At 34.5% G+C, this 22,727-nt stretch overlaps 1 protein-coding gene across 6 annotated transcripts; it reads left to right on the top strand.

Annotated features, from left to right (window-relative positions):
- The first annotated feature begins 3,903 nt into the window (after positions 1–3,903).
- On the top strand, positions 3,904–21,627 carry ATP6V1G3 (ATPase H+ transporting V1 subunit G3). Of its 6 annotated transcripts, none has more exons than NM_001320218.2 (5): positions 3,904–3,974; positions 4,164–4,280; positions 8,153–8,170; positions 15,668–15,768; positions 21,285–21,627. In NM_001320218.2, the coding sequence occupies exons 2-5, from the start codon at positions 4,199–4,201 to the stop codon at positions 21,456–21,458; spliced, it is 375 nt and encodes a 124-aa protein (NP_001307147.1). In that variant the 5' UTR covers positions 3,904–3,974; positions 4,164–4,198; the 3' UTR covers positions 21,459–21,627. The 6 variants fall into 6 exon arrangements, with proteins under 6 accessions (NP_001307147.1, NP_579872.1, NP_573569.1 ...); NM_133326.2 differs by having other exon boundaries at positions 8,125–8,170; NM_133262.3 differs by lacking the exon at positions 8,153–8,170.
- The last annotated feature ends 1,100 nt before the right edge of the window (positions 21,628–22,727 follow it).

The raw sequence follows: 22,727 nt of genomic DNA, 5'->3' as shown, positions 1-22,727 counted from the left end.
GCAGCTACTATATTTAACTAAAATATTTTCACTGTTATTATTTTTGTACCACACTAATTGCTAAATACATCCCTGTTCTTAGACAGAAGAAGTGCCTTGCTTTTCAAAATGACAGTTTGAGATATAGCAGAATCCTCATTTAAGTTTCTCACGGCAAATGGAGTTCTTTGTTGTCCTTCAGCTGAAAGAATCAATGTAATTTTAAAAAATGATTTGTTGCCCACTATGTGCAAAGCACTGTTCCAGGGACAACCACAAGCAAAGCACAATATTTATCCTCAAAGAACTCGTAGTTTGTGAGTAAAAAGGCACAAGTGATGCTTGAGAAATGCCCTATGACAGATATACATAAAAGGTTTTGAGATGTATAAGATAAGGAATCCATCAGGTCTGAGAGGATCCAGAGAGTTTCATCCTTTAAAGTAGGCATTGGAAATGGATTTTGAATGATTTATTTTCTAGGCAAGCAAGAATCAGACAGGTGTTCCAGAGATAAGGAAGTGTCTGAATAAAGGCATAGACACAAGTTTCTGATATTAAAGAGAATAAATAGTATAGTGAATGGCTGGAGGAAAAGAGGGAGAAAATCAGAGGATGAGAGGCAAAAATAAGGAGATTTATTTCTTCATTTAAAATGGAAATGAAAGAAAATAAATGTTCAATATTTGATGTATATTTATTTTATGTATAAGAAAATTTAAAATGTTCAATATTTAATGTATATTTCTTTTATGCATTACTGCTCAGCTAAAATGAGTAAGTGAAGTGAAGAAGAATACCATGCTCAGTAGACACACCCAGACCAAGTCTTAGGGTTTTGTTTAAAGGTTGAAGTTTGTAGTTTTGAGATACCCAGAAGTTCCAGGCCTCCAGAAAACCAGTATTTAATCTACTTTTCCCTACTATTCAGACTCAAATGCTAAACCAACGTGAGCAAAAGAAGGAAGGATCATATGATGAGCTGAAATATACAGGAACAATGACAGAATAGATAATAAGAGGAAGTCTGAGCAGAAATGAAACTTAGAAACCAGAAAAGTATACACTGAACACATGCTAAATTTATAATTACAGCTATTCAAAACACTCGAGGATAAGTTGTCAAGTTAAGGACACACAAAAATAAGAGGTATATTTCACTGTGATCTTTTAACATTCAACATTCAAAATTTTTCCAAATGGCACAGATTTTGTTTCTCAAGGTTTTATCATTGTTAGTAACATTTTTACATTTTCACTGATAAAAATGAAATATGAAATAATTTAGGAAAGAGAATCAAAGAGCAGTGACCTAAATATACACTATACTGATTCTTACACTTCCTTTTTATAAAGCTACTGTGACTAACATCCATTTCTCTATCTTATCTGATAAAACAAATCCTTTGTACATTGTGAGATTTTTATAAAAATATATAACTTAATTCTCAGTTTATCACTGAAACTTAAATAATAATAAAATAACACCAATAATATACAATAAGTAATAATACTGATAAATTGTGTTTCTTATATACTAACACATAGAAACCATCAACATTGCCATTTAATTAACTTAGAAATAAAAAGTGACGTATAAGTGCTCAAATTAGAAGGAAATCTTATTTTTTTTTTACTTCTAGGTATATAAATATACAAAATAAAGTAGAATATAATAAATAGTAAGGCCAGAACAAGTAGTACCAAATAAATGGTATAGGAAAAACGCTAGGTGTTTAAAATGTTAATTCCAATCAAGGAGACTTAGATTAAGTCAAATTTCACTTTGTTTTGATATTTTTCCTATTAATTATTCAAGCACACAGCATTTAAATTGATTCATATATTTAATAATTTTACACAGAGTGAAATGTCAATTGGTATTCTTTGTTTTCTTCCATATTTTTTATTAGGAAAAGAAGAGAAACCTGGAAGAAAATTTTCCTGGAAAGAAAGAGAGCATTGTTCAGCAGCAAGAACACTGACCATGAGAACAATTCTTCTACTCAGAAGCCACCTGACCTTGGGCCTGTCACTCAGGTTTTCTGAGCCACAGTTCCCTGACCACTCGTCTTGCTTATTTTATAGGGGCTTTAGTTTCTTTACTGATAAAATTGCTGTGCTTTGTAATAATAACACCTATGTAAGAATCAAATTAGTTAAATATGGAAATATGCATAATTGTAAAGTATCATACCCAGTTTCTGGAACCTAGCTGATATTTTATTAGTGAATAGAAGGAGAAAAGCTTGTCCCATTGATGCTCAGTAATACAAAACATTTAAAGAATAAATTCAAAATCTTGGCTATAATAGAATTTTTTAAAGTGTTATTATCCTTCAATGTTTGAGTTTGTAAGTGAAAAGTCACATTAGGAATCAGCTTTGATTAAAACAAAGGAATAACTCTTATAGCAAGTAAACCATTTGTATGATAATAATCCATTGGATATATAATAAAGTTCAAATTCTCCAGCCAGGCTTTTACCTCTATCTACTGCTACACTATCTACCTCTCCTCAACTTTACTTTCTCATTTGTTTTGCAATTTAGATTGTAAAAGTGTGTTCAGTATGGTTTTATCTCTGCAGAGGCTGTGGCAGTTCAAACCCACATAAGTTTGGGACTGTGATTACTTCTTTTTTTTTTTTTTCCATCCAGAGTCCAGATTGAGATGAGAAGCTTCTTCTTTGTCATCTTTCTCTGCTTCTGGGTAGATTTTTCTATCCCTCCTTTTCACTGAGAGAGTAATTTTTTGAGGGTCAGGAGAGGATGAAATTCATTCTAAGTCTCCATTTTGGGTTATTCCCAAAGGCTTTTTCCTCTCTAGGACTTCTTCCTGTTAAGCCACCTTGTATCTTTTTGTCTGGAGGGATCATACAAGAGTTGTGCTTGTTCGAAAATCGGTTTATCCCAGTTACACCAGGTATTTAATTACGCAATACAAATTAAGTACTTTATAAGCTGATTAAATGTGACTTCAAAAAAAAAAAAAAAAGTAAAAGTGATCCTGTGGAAAAGTTTTTCCTTTTGAAAATATTTGCTGAAAATGCACACATAATGTAGGCATGCAGATATGGATGAGACAACTTGAAAAGATTAGGAGAAAATAATCATTAAAGCCTTAAAAGATTTAGTGCCCAGATTGTTTTACAATTGTCTTTAAATCCAGACACCTTATTAAAGAAAATGAACCTGGCACTTACATATGAGGCAATAGAGGTATAGTTTATGAAAGCAATAATACGTGAAACCCCAATCTGCAAATCGTATCGGGGGGAAAGCCTTATTCTAAGTCAACAGATTAGCTTTTCACTTCAAATAAAAATTTTAGATACATATAAATGATACTTTGTGGTTCTTCTCTGTGACCAATATTCTGATTTGTCCAATTGCTACTGGATCGAATCAAATCAAGTATGATGGATTTTATTGTATTATCTTAGGACAATACTCACCACAAACACTGAATAATATAAAATGCATGTTTAAATTATTTTAACTTAATCCCAAAACCTACAGTTATAGTCTATTTCTATCATGATTACTACTACTAAAATTACTAATTGTTTAGTCACCATAGTAAGATCTTCCTGGAACTTCAACCTACAGCATTACTTAAGAGCAGCACAATGCCCAAAAGAAATCTTTTTATTCCAGTCACCTGAGACCTTGGGGGAAAAAAATCCTTAGTCCACCATCTATGCACAAAGCTAGGGAATCTCTTTCCTAACAAAAGATTAACACGTTTTCTCCAAGCAGATAACTGAATCACTAGAAACAAATAAAGAAAAAGACCTGAAACAAAGTACTGCAGGTACAAAGAGCAAAGATCTTGTTACTTAAAAGAAAAACTCAGTAAACATGTCAATGTTTCTTGGAAGATTAGGGAAACCAACATTCTTAAAAGGTCTCTTATTCATTATTTATAAGTAGATGCAACACCTCATTTATACCTCCTTATCTCATACAGAAGAGCTAAGATTGGCAGAAATGGTAAGTTCTCAATTTATGCACATTGGTTTAACTTGTTTTTCTAGATTCCACCTTGGGCTTTCCTTGGGACCCAGCTATCCAGCCCAATAAAGCCAGTTTGAAACAGCTGCATTTGGAACTTGCTGTTGACACAATAATCTGAGTTATATGTTAATTTCTAAAAGAATAAATGAACCCATTACTTCCCAGATTTCACAGAAGCCACTTGCTTGGAGCAGACTACCATGACAAGCCAGTCTCAGGGGATCCACCAGCTTCTTCAGGCAGAAAAACGGGCCAAGGACAAGCTAGAGGAAGCCAAGAAGAGTAAGTCTCACCTGTGAGGGGTCTGTCACGAAATAAACAAAGCAGTGGAATGCAGGGATAAGCATAGACTTTTGGATTAGGCAGACCTTGTTTCAAACTTTGGTTTACTGTACTCCCTGTGAGACCTTCACCCATTCATTAAAATTACCCAGCCATATGTTCCTTATTTCTAGAGCAGGGATGAAGTTTCCTCATTCAGATCCTTTTGAGAGGTCATGTGTTCATGGACATTAAGATTATAGAGATGTGGGCTTAAGCCTTGGCTATGCCATGCCTGTTTTCTCAACATTGTTAGGGGGTAGAAAACCTCTGGATTGAATCTACTTATTAGTGAGTAAACCTGAGCAAATTACTTATTTTTTATAAGCATCAGTTTTCATTTCCATAAAATCAGAATAATAATGGCTCATTCTCATCCCTCTCTTGGTAGCTTTTTAACATCTAATATTTTAAAATATTTTCATTTTATTCTCATTTTCTACCTCTCTTTTTATTTTTATTAATTTATTTTTTAAGAGATGAGGGTCTCACTATGTTGCCCTGGCTGAACTCCAACTCCTGGACTCAAGAGATCCTGCTGCCTCAGCCTGCCAAGTAGCTGGGACTACAGGCACTTGCCACTGTACTCAGCTCTCTTTTCATTTGGTCATGCATTCATGTACTTACATATAGAATGTCCTCAATGAACTTCAACACCTTTTCTATTCTCTTTGATACAACAGCCAAATGAATAGGATATTAACATTATTCCCAATGTATGCAGAAATGGAGTCACTGATTTGTTCAAGGTTATATTTTAAAAATAGAAAATATTGTGCCAGGCACCATGCTCATTGCTTATCTTTATTCCTCACAACCTTTACTGAAAAAGCAAAAGTGATGCTTAGAGAAATTATACAACTTGTCTAAGGTCACACAGAGGGTAAATGGTAGAGACAAGATTTAGATGAGCTATAATTTCCAAGCCCAGATCTTAACCACTGTGCTTTACAAAATTTACACAATTTGCATAATAAAAAAATTAATATGTCTCAGATCTACAACTGGAATTCAGATTCCCAAGGCCAAGACATTTTTTTCACTATCCCATTTCATATCACCTCATTATTCAATCTACAATAATTTGTAGTGTCATTCACTCTCCTTGTGTGTCCTGCCTCTGCAATTAGATTCAGTCTGGCAAAACAGGGGCCATATTTTCAAAATGTTACTTATGTAACTCTTTGGATGAATGTAGTGATGGGATTGGAGTAGGTACTGAATTATTTAAACGTAATGAATGAAATGAAGGAATATATTACAACATAAGAAAGTCAGTCAGAAATAAGGCAGGTACACTAAAGTTTTCAACCACAGGTAAAATCATTTCCTTTTCTTAAGATAAATAGATTTCCTGAACACTCAGCAATGTGGGCATCAACAACATAAAAGGAATGACTCCAGGTGGAGATGATAGAAGAGGAAAGGAAGAAGAAAGATAGTGAAGGCAAACTTTACCTATTTCTCAATTTCTTTTTCTACAACGAAGTGTGGAAATAGTTGCAAGATGATATGAATGTAGAGTAGTTTTATAGAAAACAAAGCAGTTCAGGACCTGTGGTTGAAGCGGCATAGAGAATTTTCCCTTTTTAAAAATTTCAGGGTTTTCTTTTCTTCTTCTTCTTTTTTTTTTTTTTTGAGACAGGGTCTGCTTCTGTTCCCAGGCTGAAATGCAGATGATCTGGGCTCCTTGCCACCTCCATCTCTCAGGCTCAAGCCATACCTCAGCCTCTAGAGTAGCTGGGACCACAGACACACGCCACCACACCCGGCCAATTTTTGTATTTTTGTAGAGACGGGGTTTCGCCATGTTGTTCAGCTGGTCTCAAACTCCTGAGCTCAAGAGATCCACCTGCCTCTGCCTCCCAAATTACTGCAATTACAGGAGTGAGCTACTGTGCCAGGCCTTTTTAAAAACTTCTTTAACAATATTTAAAACTTTCAGAACAGAAGACCAGATAATTTAAAGATGTGATAGTTATGTTGCCTTTGCTTTCTCATTATGGAGGATACAAAATGAAATATTGAGTATAGATTAATCAATATTATTGTATGACTCAAATAATTTTTACCAACTATTTCTCCTTTTTTCGAGTCATTAAAGAATAAAAGAATTGCTATACATGCAAGCTGTTTTGGGGTGGGAGCCGCTAAGGGCAACCTGGCTTCAAATTTCAGAATAAAGATAAAAGTCCAATTTCTTTTGCTTTTCTCTAGTGAATATGCTGTCCTTGGGCAATCTTTCCTCAGAATTCAGTATTGAAAAGTACATACTGTCTTATTTCTATACAAAAATGTTCATTTCATTTGCCAGTAACTTAAAATACCTGCATATTTTTTTCTTAATCTACCATGTCTTTGTTCATGAATATTCAAGGGGATATTCAACCAGTAATAGTAAATACCCAGGCTTTAAAGACATTCTGGAAAATATTTTGACTTTCAACAACTAACCTCTGCACTCAGTTTTATGGAGAATGTCAGCCTGTCCTCTTTGCCTCAGAAGCCACAGGCGTTGAGGTCAGTTTTAACTGGATAGAAACTGTTTTCTTAAAGCTATCAGCAGGTATTAAAGTTTATAGTTACAACAGCTTACTCACATAAGCGATCTATGGCAAAATAGAAATATTACCTTATATACCAGTATGTTATAACTTCCCTAATGTTTCAGTGGTTTTTGTTTCATTTATTTAATTCAATAAGTGTTTATTGGGTATCTACTAATTCCAGGCCACTTTGATGTTTACACTGATAAATAAGACCTAGTTCTTCCTTAAAGAACTTCCCAGTGAGATAAATGCACAAATGACTATTTTAAAAAGGGAAAGGAGGCATGATGACAGGAGAGGTAAAGATAGTTATCATTTTAGTAAACCCATATACTTTTGCTTTATTTTTTCATACAAAGATTCATTTGAAATTCTGACATATTAAGGCAGAATGATATTCAGAATGAGGACCAAGAAGTCACAATAGTGAACACCATTGTAGAAGGTCTATGGTCATTTTCTCTTTCTTAAATCCATTTATTTGCAAGACTCTCAGAAACTTGGGCATAAAGTGCTAGAACAAGACTCTTGAGTGTATTATTTTTAAGAAAAAGAAAGACAGGAAGAAGGAAGGGCGAGAAAGAGGGAAAGAGAAAGAAAACAGCAATTCACATGTTAATCATTTCAGGAAAATACAAGATTAATATGGTTATTTTTATATTATGCTGAAAAAATATTAATATATTCCATTAAGGAGAACAGCCTCAGATCCTGGTGCAGTTGCTACATGATACAGTATATGGTCTAAGTGTTTTGCCTTTAGGGATACTGATAAGGGATTATGAACCTGATGTATCAAGAACTCTCCAGAAGGCCACGCGGTCTATAGAAATTGAATATGCAAGTCTCTGCTCTCAAGACATCCACCAGCTACTGAGAGAGATGAAATCTGACAGGGACATGGGCAGGAATGTGGACAGGCTTCGGAAGTCAGACTGGGAAGTAGTAGAGTATAAAAGCATTGGCTTGAGTTGAAAACCTACAATTCTTAATGTCATTTAACATCTCCAAGTTTCAGACTTTCTTTCTGTAAATAAAAATAGAAGTTATAATACACGCACACACACACACATATGACCAAGAGGTTGTAAGAATCAGAAAAATATGTGTAAGATAGTAAAGCAAAATACACACTAGAGTTATTTTTATTTTTAATATATGTCATGTATTTTTGTATGTTACTGTAAGTAATAATGATAGAAGAATGATATAGACTAGAATGATCTCATTCCATTTGTTTTTACCCCTGCTGTAAGTTCTGCATCTACTTTTCCTAAAACGAAGAGACTGGGACTGCTTCTGGTAAGATGACTAGAAATGTTCAGATACTTTCCTGTATTCACTGATTACAGGTTATATTTATTAGTTAAAGCTCTCACTCATTTTTATGTGCAAAACTGCCTTACTATTTTGGTTGAATTTAGATGAAATCACAGTAGTTTGCACTACTTTAAATTATCTTACCTAGATTCAATGCTCTTTACTTAATAAATTGTTCATTAATCAAAACATAAAAGTGGGTGTGTTGGTCCAAGACAAGTTACCTAAACATCAGAGATCTGCCATGGAGCTCCAGGTTTGGGGTATTGAACTGAAACTTCAATCAGAATTAGATTAGAAATTCAAAGTACCATTATCAACAGGAGGAACAGAGACTTGTGTTTCTCTGAAATATGTTGCATTTTTACTTTTAGTCATGACCTTTTTTAAGAGAAGTATTTACTTCACTTACACCCATTGCAAACTTTTAAAACCCTATAGCTCTGCATTAACATTGTTCTGAAATACTCAAATGCATGCAATTCAACATCACATAAAGAACTCATATTCCCAAATCATTTCTGAACATACATGGCATACTCTCCTAGAAATAAACACTCAATTTATTTACTTTGGAAGCTGCAGAAAGTAGCATTTGTGCTTAACTAAAAATTACAAATTGCATTACAGGATATAGATTGAAAGAAATAGCAAAAAAAAATGTAAATTTTCTAATCTGGATATGAGAAAAATGGAACAAATAGCTATATTAAAAATGTCTAAAAGCTACAGACAATTGTAATACAAGTGAAGAACACACTGCTCTAGCTTTCTCCCAAAATAGTATGGTCAGTACTCACCCCCTACAGCTGCTCTGCCTGGATGCCAGTCTAACTTCTGCTTCTTATTAGCTGTGTGACCTTGGGTGGGTTACCTCTTAACCTTGCTGTGCCTGTTTCCTCAGCCTCAAAATGGAGATACTAACAGTACCTACCTCATGGAGTTGTCATGATTAACTGAGTTAACTCTTATAAAAGACTTAAAACACCACTTGGCATATAGAAGGTGCTCAAGAAATTTTAGCTGTTAATATTATTTTAATATCCAATAAAAAGAATTTTGTTGCAAAAACAGCAAAAAAGTCCTGGAGATTTCTTAAGCATGGTCCACTATGAGGCAAAATACATACTTAAGAAAATATTTCTGCATTCTAGATAATACATCAGATAATACTGTAATTCAGATTTATTTTTGTGAGTCTATAGGATGCCAACCATCAATAATTTTTTTAAATCAGCAAATTTCCTATTTGCTTCCAAATATGCATATATTCTGAATTATTTAAACAAGCACCTCAATTTAATAAATTCTTCACTATGCAAGTGGATGTTTTTGTTCATAAAGACAAGACTTTTAATAAACTAATAAAATAAAAGTTGTTATATAAGAATTTCATGGCCCTGTCTTGCATGTTTTGTAGGCTTGTAAATACTTCCTCTTCCTTTATAGTCCACAGACTAACAGGGTATTTGTAAGTGTATTGGGCTTTCATTTCTTCAGGTGGGTAATATTAAAATAATAACCACAGAGCATTTTCATCTATTAATAGCATTTGGTTATATTCAGTCCAGGAGCTACACAAAACTATTTATTGTATTTTTAATAAGGAAAATACAAGTAGAAGAAAAGCAAAAGAAAACATTCAGGAAGCAGAGATCTGACAGGAAATAAATTTAGTGTAAGAGAAGCTCTAGCAGTGACAGTCACCAAAGGAGAGGCTGCCTCTTTGTTTTTCTGGTGACATTTCTTTCCCAATGTTTGTAGTCACTGGGAAAAATAATAGCATTCTTTGAATCAGGTTGGTTTTATCACAATATTGACAATCGCCCAAAGCCAAGAAGTTTTGTTTGGTTTGGTTTTGCTTTGTTTTCTGAGTGGTAGAATAGATCAAAAGTTGTTATTACTAACAGAAATCTTCAAACATTACCAAAGTACCCTTTGTTTATACAGCAAATAAAAATGGCTTCTGAACTGTTTATGCATATTTTTGTCAGGTGGCACATTCATTTCAATACCTACTATTTTCACCACACTAGGGTATCTGGCTTTGTCTCCAATGCTCAACTAGCATTGTTTTCTCTATGCTCCTTGCTGATTCTCTGCATTTGTTTCCTAGAGACGCTGTAACAAATTACCATATACTAGGTGGCTTTAAACAGAAATTGATTATCTCACCATTCTGGAGGCCAGAAGTCCAAACAGAAGGTGCCAGCAGGGTTGGATCCTTCTGGAAGCACCGAGGGAGAAACCCCCATGCCTCCTTCCTGGTCACTGGTGGTAGCCAGCCATCCTTGGCACTCCTTGTCTCGCAGCTGCATCATTTTAATGTATACCTCCATCAATACATGGCCTTCCTCCCTGTGTGTCTGCTCTGACTCTGTGCCTCTGTATTCAAATTTCCCTTATAAGAGAACCAGTTGTTGGATTTAGGACCTGTCTTAATCCCTTATACCTCATTTTAACCTGATTACATCTGCAAAGACCCTATTTCCAAGTAAGGTTACATCAGAGGTACCAGGAGTTAGGACTCCAACATATGTTTTCGGGGGGCACAATTAAATCCTCTAGCTGTCAAATCCACTTGACCACCTTGAGCCCTTATTTTATTTTCTTTGTTCCCCTTTGTTGGTTAAAACTTCTCAGAGAAGTTGCCTATGTTCCCTGTGTCTACAATGTTTCATTCCATTTTCTATTGAACACTTCTTCCTATAACTCCACCAATAGTTCCTCTTGCCCAGATCACCAGTCTTGCTAAACCCAATATTAATTCAATATCTCATTCATAATTAGATCCCTCTTTCCTCTTTGAAACTCTTTCTTCATTTGACTTTGGAACACTACTCTCATGGTTGGCTTCCTGTTGTCTTCTCAATCCTTAAAGTCGGACCCCAATTTGGACCTGTTCTCTTGGTTATCAGCAGATACTTCTGAGGTGCTCTCATCTGATCTCATGGCTTTACAGACCAGCTTCAAGTTGATGACTCCCAAACTTGATATTCCCAGCACTCGTTGCTTCCCTGATCTCTAAGTTCATATAAACACCAGCTGTCTCAGCATCACTATTGGATGTTGAATAGGCATATCAACGAAATTGCAGTATTGACTCCATCCCCAAAATAAAATGTTGGTGCCATCATTGACTCATATCTGTCTCTCATGCTCATGTATCAATTCCACCTCCAAAATATATCTACCCTCTTCTTGCTAACTCCACTACTACTTTACCATTTCCAGCAATTATTAAATTTGCCTGAACAATTGCAACAAATTTCAGACTGATCTTCTTGATTCTCCTTTACCCCTATAGTGTATTTTCTATTTTCACCACACCAGCCAAAGAAATTTTTTTTTTTTTTTTTTAGACAGAGTCTCACTCTGTTGCTAGGCTGGAATACAATGGCGTGATCTTGGCTCACTGAGCCTCTGCCTCCTGGGTTCAAGCGATTCTCCTGCCTCAGCCTCCCAAATAGCTGGAACTACAGGCACGCACCACCATGTCCACCTAATTTTTGTATTTTTAGTAGAGACCGGGTTTCACCATGTTGGCCAGGATAGTCTCGATCTCTTGACCTCATGATCCACCTGCCTCAGCCTCCCAAAGTGCTGCAATTACAGGCATGAGCCACCGTGCCTAGCCAAGAAATCCTTTTAAATTACAAGTAGTATTATGTCATGCCTTGGCTAAGAACCCTTCATGAATTTAGTATTCCAAAGACCAAAATTCTTACCGTGCCCTGTGAGATCAATATGACCTGGTCGTGCTACTATCTTTCTAATACCATCTCCTAACATTCATGATTGAATATCCTGTTCTCTTTGCTCCAGCCATGATGGTGTTTTTGCTCTTCCTTCAGCATGGCAAATATCCTCCCACCTCAGGGCCTCTGCACTTGCTGTTCCCTCTGCCTGGAGGACCCTTCCCCCTGCCTGGAAGACTCTCCCCCTTCAGATATCTGCATGACTAGTTGCCTTATTCCTTTAGGCCTCTGTTCACATATTGTTTCATCTGAGAGGCCTGATCTGTCTAAAGTAGAATCCACCATCTTTCTTTACCCCTTATTCTCCTTTCTTCTTCACCATCATCCCTGTCATATTATATACTTATTGTCCATTTTCTATTTTTATCTCCCCAACTACATTCAGAACACAAACTCCATGAAACAAAAAGTTTGTGGCTTTCACTGCTATATCCATAGATCTACAATAGTGTGTGGCACAGAATAGACATCTAGTTATGTTGATTAAATATCTCTTATTTCAGTTCTCTGTGTCTTTTGATACTGCTGGCCATATCCTTCTTGGAATGTTCTCTTCTGTCTTTTGGTTTCTCCAACTTCTCTGACTACTACTGGCTCCTTCCAACCTTCCTCCTTCTTTTCTTAAAGGTTGAGTGTTAATATTCCCCCAAGCTGAGACCTTAGCCTTCTTTTCTCCTCATTCTGTATACTCTCCCTTGATTTCTGTCTAAATCCCATTGCTATAACTAGCATATATACAGGCCCCAATGACTAATATGCAAATCTCTGTCTTCATTTCAGACCTTCCTCCTGCATCCCAATTTTGTCTCCCCAGCTGTCGTCTGCATACCTCCAATTAAATATCCTCAGGAAAGCTTACAGAGGCTTCTCTAGTGACAGCCTGAGGACTTCTCCTCAAACTCACGCTTTACCCCTTGCCTTTTTTTTTCTCCTTGACTTCTTTTTTAGCAAAAGGCCCCTAGGAATTGGACCCGTTTTCCTAATAATTATTTAAAATAATTAAACAACTACTTTTGTCAATCATTTTATATACATTTTTTTCTAATCCCTCCAATAACTTTTTATGGTAGATTATTAAATCTGTCTTATAGATGAGAAAACTCAATAACCTGCTCAAAGTTACAAAGCTTCTAATGTTTTATTGCCATGATGCCTAGTGCATGATTCTGATTGCCTTAGATGATAAATGAAATCCTATCTTCTCCATTGGGAAAAGAGCCTAGAACAAATTTAGCAATCCAACAGAATTAGGTTTCTCTGTACCTCAAGAACTTATCGCATCTGGGGACAGTCAGTTCACCTGGCCTGTCCTAATGAGAAGGCCAGGAAGAGTCCATCTTCAAGCATTACCCTTTGTCTCCGACACAGAGTTGTTTTAACCTGCCCAAAATTGATTTTATTAATCCTTTTCCCACAAACCACCTGAAAATCAGTCCAAATGTCTTTTCTCCCCGCTTTTGGTCACAGCAGCCATGTTTTTAATGCATACAAAGAAATAAGTATAATTTTAGAATTGCCAAATTCTTACACACAGAGAGAAGCAAGTTAGAGGTTAATATGAGTGGATTTGAAGTGTGCATTTTGTTTCACCTCTAACAGAACAGTAGGCTTTAGGCTCCAGTTTTTTCCACTGGATTAAATCAGGTGGAGCATATGCAGGCTCTTACACAGCAGCAGCTGCTGAGTCTATCAAGAAAATTGCTGTGCCAGCAACGATTTCCCTGTGGCTCTCCCATTTAATTGAATGAGAACCAGCAGGTGACTGGTGCCATGACAAGGGAATCACAGACACGCTCTGAGCCTGTCACCGTGTGATGGAGCTAATATACAGCCTCTTAGTGGAGTGCTGAATTCCACTCAAGGGTAGGGCACACAGACCCTTTCCTATGATTTTTTTTTTAATGTGCTAGAGAGGCATAACTTTAAAACCACTATTTTTAGATATTATGCAATTAAGATGGAGAGTAGTGAGGCATGTGATTTATTTTGTAAAATAATTATGTATCCTACAACCCATTATTACTAAAAAAAATCAATACATTAACATTCTGTATTTTTGTTCTGATGTAAATGACAAACAGATAGAAGAAAGTGGGTTGGAGATCAAGGAATAGTTTTTCCTACCAACATATCATCGATTTATTCTGCTCACAGAGAATCTCTGTGAATAATATATATGTAGTTGTCACAAAATGGTTACAACTATAGAGAATGAAGGAATCAGTATATACAAAATGGTAATGAGCATTAATTAATATAAAGATAAGCATTGCTATTAATGTTCCATTAAGCCTCAAGCAACAGAAGAGCAGTAGTTTTCAGCAGATCTCAGATTTTAAAGAAAGTGTAGGCAGAGCTAAATATCTGTTCTGAATGAGGACTTCCCAGTTCCATTCAAGGGTGGTAGATATTAAAAGAGACACATTTCAGTTTGTAACTCAGTGACTCTATTTTTATCCCATATACATACAGAGACTAGTGAAGCAACTCATACTTAGAAGGGAAAGAAATTGAGAAACAATCTCTGTGCAAATGCTGCAAAGGTAGATACATGCATAGGTAAATGGGAGACAGATAAAAGTTTACACTAAGATTTTCTTTCATGCTACCTGAGAACACATTATTCTTTAGTTCAAAGTCTTTACAATATAACAAATGGTTGACAGAAATTGTAAACAATACTTAAGAAACATTATCAGAGGAAAAAAACTATAAAATGGGTAAAAGAATGGAGGCATTTTACTGAAATTGAAAGACAATAGATTCATAGAAAAAAAGAATTTTAATGTAGTTCAGAATTTCTTTAAAGTTTTAATGATCATGAAGCATTAGTAGCTAAGCCCCAAGGTGGTGGGTGGAGAGAGCAAAGCACCAATTAATATTTGTCTGTAACCCCCCCCAAACTTACTCTGGTTGTCAAAAAAAGTCATGTGCTCAGCTAATGATTACCACAGCATTGTATTCGTCTAAAACTTTCGTTTATGTTGTCTGCTAGCTTAAGGCTTACACCTTTGCTCTTAATAAAAGAAAAAAGGCTACTTAACTAAATCTCCTAATCATTAAAAACAATTGGTTTTATAGCCACTTTCAAGCAAGTTCCCCTCAGAGAAAGTTACAAAAAAAAAAAATTGCTTTGATGTATTGAGGCTTAATCAGACATTGTAGAGTCAACAAATGGTAAGGAAAAATCCCAATAAAACGTTTTTAAAAATTGTAAGTTAGTTTGATAGAGTCTGAGTTGCATGTTTGTAGTGATTTTGGAGATCTGCCAGTGTTAAATAGGATCCAGTTGGTGTGGACTGAAGGATTCTGGCAGCAAATCAAGACTGAAAATCTGACCAAATAATGTCTTTTTGAGTAAGTGACAGCTAAAATCTGTTCTCTGGCATTACTGCTGTGAGTAAATGGGCAGATATTTTATTTAAACATGTAAGTGCAAAAAAAAGTTGTCATTTACGTGTCCTAAAGAATCCAATAAAAAATAATAAAATTTTCAATATCTATTTTTTTAGCAAAGTTTGCCATTCTAGAAAAAATCATCAAAAATAAGGAAGAATGTATCTATTTTAAAAAAACTAAGTTTGCAGCTCCATATGCATACGTGTGTAACATATATGTACAGTTGTTAATATATATATCCTTGTTGAGATATATATAATAAATATTTATATATTGATATATATAATTATATATATATATATATATATTTGTTAATTTTCAGGAAAAGGAAAGCGATTGAAGCAAGCCAAGGAGGAAGCAATGGTAGAAATTGACCAGTACAGAATGCAGAGAGATAAAGAGTTTCGACTAAAACAATCTAAGGTGAGTAAGAAAGTCAGCACTGTTTCTTATGCAGAATAGATAAGATCTTCATATTTATAAGGTTTAATATAGGATATTGACAGAAAAAAATATGCTGCAATTGAGCAGATATAGTTCAATCAAGCTGAACATCAAGCAAAATCTTAAACATAATAATTACTGATTTTACATTTTCACTTTCAAGGCATTTTTAATTTCTCACATAAAGGGTCCATCAGTAGTTATTATGTAATATATAGTATATATTAAAAATCATATTCACAAATATACAAGCTGAAGGGATTGCTTAAAGTCTCATTCCTACCACTGATTATTGACTACATGTTTTAGTAAAATAACTTCAGAGAACATGTTTTTATATAAATATATATGGTTAGTTACATAAATAACTAATATTTCCAAGATTTACAAATGACCAAAGTAGATATTGTTGCAAATTTCTGAAAAGCCTTCTGGTATTTCCTGATGATTTCCTTTGCAACTGGCTGACTCATTCAATAAATCTTTCATTTAGAGATAAAGAAATGCTTTTTCCTACATTGGCACATTTTTAAATATCTGCAGTTTACTGTAAATTATAAATGCATGAAACCTTTGGAGCGGACACCCTCCTTTCCATGTTGCAACATGGGCTAAAAGAAAGTGCTTAACTCCATGTATTATAACTAAATTTTATATGATATTTTATTTTGGCCTCAATAAAAATATAAGTAAAGCTCTGTGCAGAAGCCTGACACTGCCAATAAATTATTAGCAATTTGGAAATCTTTATTTACAACTTCTATTTTAATGGTAATGGATAAGGAGTTCATGTAGGATCAGATAAATTGGACCACATAATAACAAAACCTTTTTCATCAAATAAAAAAGGTCCTTTCTAGAATTAAATGGACCACTCAGCAAACATAAAAATTTTTATCAATGTTTGCAAACAAGAAATCCTAAAGTCCTAAGTTCATACAACACTCCATGATTGGCCTTTGGCTATCTCTCTCACCACATTTTCTACCACCCTAGTCTCTATTAGTTCTGTTCTAGCCATATTGGTCTTTTGCTCTTCCTCAAGCAGCTAGAACATGCCCCTACCATGAGGCCTTCACATGTACCATTCTCACGCCCTACAATTCTTTTCTTTAGATATATTCATCTTTCTTTGATCTCTATTCAATTGTTAGCACCTTTTCCTGATCACTTTATCTAAAATTGTGTCTGTCATAAACACATACCTATTGTAGTCCACTCTTTTTCCTCATAGCACTTAGCATTATCTGATATATTTTATATTGTTTTTTGCATATTGCCTATCTTTCCTTCTGGGACTTTAAACACCAAAAGAATCATTTCTTTGTTTTGTTCTCTGTTTTCCTAGACATTAGAACAGTGCCTGCCACACAGTAGACATGCAATAAATATTTGTTGAAAGAATGAATAACATTTTTTTCTTTGATTTTCTTTCTTATTGAATCCTGTCATAACCATGATCTATTAGGACCTGAGAAAACAATCATCTTTAACATTATTCAGCTTTGATTATCTTATATAGGATATTTCTGATATAATTATTTCCGTTTTTTAAGTAATAACAAAACTAATCACAATTTCAGAAAGTGCTTGTGTTAAATCTCTTCAAATATCATTTCTCCAGAAGAATCTTATCAGATATATATATCTTGTTCAGGTTATTTGTTTTCTGCTTTGGTTAATAATTAAATAATCAAAACTCCTCATCTCTCTCATAATTAGCGCTCCAAGCCAATTTTACAGTTATTTGATCAAAAGCTCACATAGAAAGGTCAGCATATTTAAGCCTCAGCTACTTCGAGCATTTTGTAAAACCATTAGCACAGATCTTCTCTCCTTGGCATGACCTCCATATGTCAGGCATATTGCTATTCCACTTAAATCTTATCCTCATTAACCCAGGGCAATTAGGAGGTCTGGGAGGAGACCCAAGAAACCAGCCTCCTGTGTGCCGTGGGTGTTGTATCTTGATGTTACTTTTTGTTGCTTTTTAGCTCTTGTTAATATATGTGATTTTTCAAGTCCCCTGACTTATCAACGGAAGCAGGTATCCCAATGTGGGCTGTACGTTAGCAAATATTGCTTCATCAAAAATCTATTTATCCCTTCCTTAGTGCTACCCTATCTAAAGAAAATATTATATTGCTAAAAAGAAATCTGGACTACAGTAGAAAAATTAAATATGTTGTTAATACAAGTAAAAGTCAGATAGATCATGAATCTAAGTAGAAAACCTGAAAATGGTTGCCTTGGGCATATTGAAGACCTTTATATCTTTAGTCTTTCTTCCTGAATTTATATCCCAAGAGCATTTTGTTTGCTGGAGGCAATCACAAATTGAGAGCATAAAACTGTTTTTCTTGCGGTGATGGGACCTGAAGCTCTGCTTTACCTTAAACTGGAACATTTAAACAACTTGTAAAAAAACATATTGAATGTTTAAAGTTCTTCCATCACCATCAGTCATTATGCTGTAAAGCTATACATCAGTTTCAACACTGACATTTTGAAAATTAACATGGAGAAGTCCTCACATGTCACCCTTAGACCAAATGTATCATGACATGTTACAGAATTATCAACTACTAACTTATACATTCTCCCAAACATTCAGGTAACAGGTTTCCATCAACATGAGCAACAGAACACAGTAATGAGTTCTCTGTAATATCCAAGATATCTAATCATTCTACTCAATACAAATGTGTATTGAGCATCTACTAAGTGCCAGACAGTGTTCAAGGCATTTATAATACATCAAGGAACATGATTCTTGTCTTTGTGCCACTTACATTCATTCACTGAAACTCCTACATGGGTTAAATCAATACTCTGTCTGCAGATATCAAGATATGGAATTCTTCCCTAGGAAAACCATTTAAAATAGTGTATGACTAGTCATTGTTATAGTACTGCATAGGAAACACTGCAGAAACTCAAATCACTGGGCATCAAATAAATTCAGAAATAATATTTTGTTTAATTATGCAGGATGAGACGTGATTATGGGGTATTACAAGGGTATTACAATGTTTCTGAAAATACAGAACATATTGGAAAAATTTGAAAAGTACAAGTAAAACAATCAGTGAAAATTATAGTAATAATCACTAACATGTACTGATTACTTGTTCAGAGTTAAACTGAGCTAAGAGTCATCTTTATAAGTCTCTCTGGAAAATGATTATGGTGTCTTGAAAAGCCACATTAAGAATTCAACTAATATTAACAGCTGCCATTTATTGCTGCACTGTCCAAAATGGTGACCACTTCACATGTGGCTACTAAGCACTTGAAGTGTAGCTAGTCCCAATCAAGATGTGCTATAAGTGTAAACTACATACCAGATTCCAAAGACTTAGTATGAAATAAAAGAATGTAATAATTTTTATATTGATTGTATGTTAAAATATGAATATTATTAGATTAAATATATTACTAAAATAACTGCACCTACTTCTTTTACACTTTTGATGTGGCTTCTAGAAAACTTATAATTACATATATATGAGTTGCCTTTGTGGCTCATATTACACTTTTGTTAGACACAACTGCTCTGCACACTTACCAATGAATCTGGTTTGCATTTTACAGTATCTTATCAAATGGATGATATTATCCCTATAAAAAAATAGAGAACCTAAGCTTGAGATTAACTTTTCCAAAGTCATTCACAACAGTTACACTAAACCAACCCAATGACAACTATTTTTAATGCTGTTCCAAAGAAAAGTAGGTAATAGTTTCACAACAGTTTGTTTTTAATTTTTTACCACTAGAAGACACTGAATTTAGAGAATTATTTTTTTAATTTGGTAGAATCACACTTAAGACACTAAATTTAGAGGAAAAATTTTGAGCTTGGTAGAGCCATTTTAATAAGTAGTTCTCTTCTATTTTAAAATTTCTTCTTAGCAAGGGAAATTCGATCCATATGTTTCTGCTTCTTGTATACTCACTTATCAAAATGTTATTCTGCAAAAGTTATTTGATGTCTTAGAAACTGTAACTTTTCAAAATTATTTTCTTTGAACTGAGAAGACCCCATTGCCTGGACTGTAAACAGAAAGAACTTGAACCCAAGCGCCTCAGTGGCATTTGATTTCAAGCCTAGGACTCAAAAAGATCATGCAGATTTTAGAATTTAGAATAGTCTAACAACCCTGAAGTAGAAGTCAATCATTACTGGAGTATCTTGGATTAAATTAAATGCATACTTTTCCTAAACACTCTCAGACGGAAAAAGCAAACAAACATAAAACAGTCTTCTTGCCTTTAAAATGCCATGTGTAGGAAAGACTAAGTTTACAAAGGAGATACGTTAGGAGTTGATTTTTTTTGCTTTAGTAAAGGCTAACTTTCAAAGTGTTTCACTGCAGAATTCCTTTAAATTGTTAACTCCTCTGGTGAAATTATATTTTGGTCAAATCATTCCTTGATAAAGAAGCTATGAGGAAAGAGGAGATAATAGAAAATACTGGGAATCACTGCCAATTAAAGAGCAATTAGAAAGATATATTAAACTGTGTCTACAATTATGATGTAACTAAATGAACAAGCACACTCAATTTTAAAGAAGTACAACTTACACTAAGTGTTCAAGATAATATCTATTACCCAAAGAAACACACTTCGGCAGCCAGGCGCTGTGACTCACACTTGTAATCCCAGCACTTTGGGAGGCTGAGGAAGGCGGATTACCAGGTCAGGAGTTCGAGACCAGCCTGGCCAACAAAGTGAAACCCGGTCTCTACTAAAAATACAAAAATTAGCAGGGTATCATGGCACACGCCTGTAGTCCCAGCTACTTGTGAGGCTGAGGTGGGAGAATCGCTTGAACCTGGGAGGCGAAGGTTGCAGTGAGCCAAGACTACGCTATTGCACTCCAGCCTGGGCGACACAGTGAGAACCCATCTAAAAAAAAAAAAAAAAAAAATTGTGCATATAAAAGTATCTTAGAGCGCACATTGTGACTGTCTTCCTGATAAAAGCAAGATACAGTTCAGATAATGTATTTTAAAAATAGAAAAACACTCTTTAAAAACCAGCAACTGTTTAAAACTTTTAAACACTCTTTAAAAAACAGCAAAAGTGAGTTTAATGGTGTCTTTCAACTCTGTTTTCCAGACTTATAATTCAGAAAATAAACAATAGGGAATATATGGGAACTAAATGGAAACTGTCATAAATACATGAAAAATGTGATGGAAAAGAACTTCTGGGCATGGTTTAATGATTATAAATGTGTATTCAATTTGTACCATGTGGAGGTTGGTTAAAAGTGAAAGTAATCTGCTATGACCAGTTTCAATATTTTATGAAAGTTCATCCTTCCCACTCATGGCATTGATGATCTTGTTGGTTCTCTGAAAAAATCTAGAAAAGGAGTACATAATTGTGCATTGTAGGACAATCATCAGTAAACAGGCTAGGACAAATTTAACTTGTAAAACAATTGTATTATGATGTGAATTCTGTCTGTTTTGTTTTGGTAGATAATGGGCTCTCAGAATAATCTCTCAGATGAAATAGAAGAACAAACACTAGGGAAGATACAAGAACTTAATGGACACTACAATAAGTATATGGAAAGTGTGATGAACCAGCTCTTGAGCATGGTCTGTGACATGAAACCAGAAATCCATGTGAACTACAGAGCCACCAACTAAATGTACATCACAGTTTTCAAGAAAAAAAAAGGTGTGTGAGTGCCACCTGGTTGCTTATGGCTTCGTATTTTTATGTTGAGAAATTTGAAATGAGAACCTTAAATTTACATTTACAGGAAATGTGACATAACTCATACATCGGCACTGAATTAAACAAAACAAAATACAACTGTTGCTATATCTTTTCTAGTAATAATTATGACCTTGTCACTTAACTTGGAGTAAGTCAAGAATGCAAAATAGTAACATGTTTTTTAACACTTGAAAGAAAAACATGGTCATGACAGCTTTTTAGTGGGCATGGGTTTTTTATTTCTTCTCCTTTTCATCGATTTAGAAAATGTGCTCTTAATTGTATTAAATGGTAATTTGCTAAAAGATAATCTTTAAGCAAGATATAATTATGACTCTTCAACAGATCTAAAAATGAACATGTCAAGGGTCTTATTTAATTCAGTAATCAATGGGAAACCAGTAAAACAGAGAGATAGAGACAAAGAATGATGGGTTATATAGCCACTTTTAAACATAGATGGGGTTTATAATCATTCTGTCTGTCTGACCTCAACTAAACAGATATTATTTTTAAAAGAAAAAAGTAAATGATAAATAAGCTAATAACATAGATTTTGGAGCTTTGAAAAAAAAAAAAAAGAAATACAAAGAAAACTCCCAGGAGATATACTAGGTTAGTGTGCCACTAGCCCAGTCTCCTAGTTACAGCTAAGCTAAACTCTTGTTAAATACTAAGTATTTTGTTAGTGCAATGTATATATCATCTCAATCCTACCTTGTAAGCAGTATTAGTGCTCTTGTTTTACAAAATGAGATGCAAAGATGAAGGAACTTATCTGGAGTTGTTTGGATAACAGTGGCAGCACTGAGCTTTGAACTGGGCAATGTGACTCCAATGTTCACACCCTTTACTTCTTACCAAACTGCTTACCTGCACAGCTCCTATATTTGCATTAGTAAGAAGCATGGGTGCTATAAAGTCTTTGATTTTCCAGTAATATATGCAGACAAATTTTAATTCCAGTCTAAACAAAAGTTAATTATTGTCACCAAACTATTCATATAATCTTCAATTATATGAATCTCTGATTATATGTATAGTTTGGTAACAATAATTAACTTTTGTTTAGACTGGAATTAAAATCATAAACTGAAATGGTTTTAATTGATCATTGTTTTAGATCAGTGGTCCCCAACCTTTTTAGCACCAGGGACCAGTTTCGTGGAAGACAATTTTTCCAAGAATGGAGGGGT

The sequence above is a fragment of the Homo sapiens genome, chromosome 1 (genome assembly GCF_000001405.40).
Source record: "Homo sapiens chromosome 1, GRCh38.p14 Primary Assembly".
NCBI lineage: Eukaryota > Metazoa > Chordata > Mammalia > Primates > Hominidae > Homo > Homo sapiens.
The sequence above is the reverse complement of the archived record's forward strand: the minus strand, read 5'-3'. Positions and strand labels throughout refer to the sequence as shown.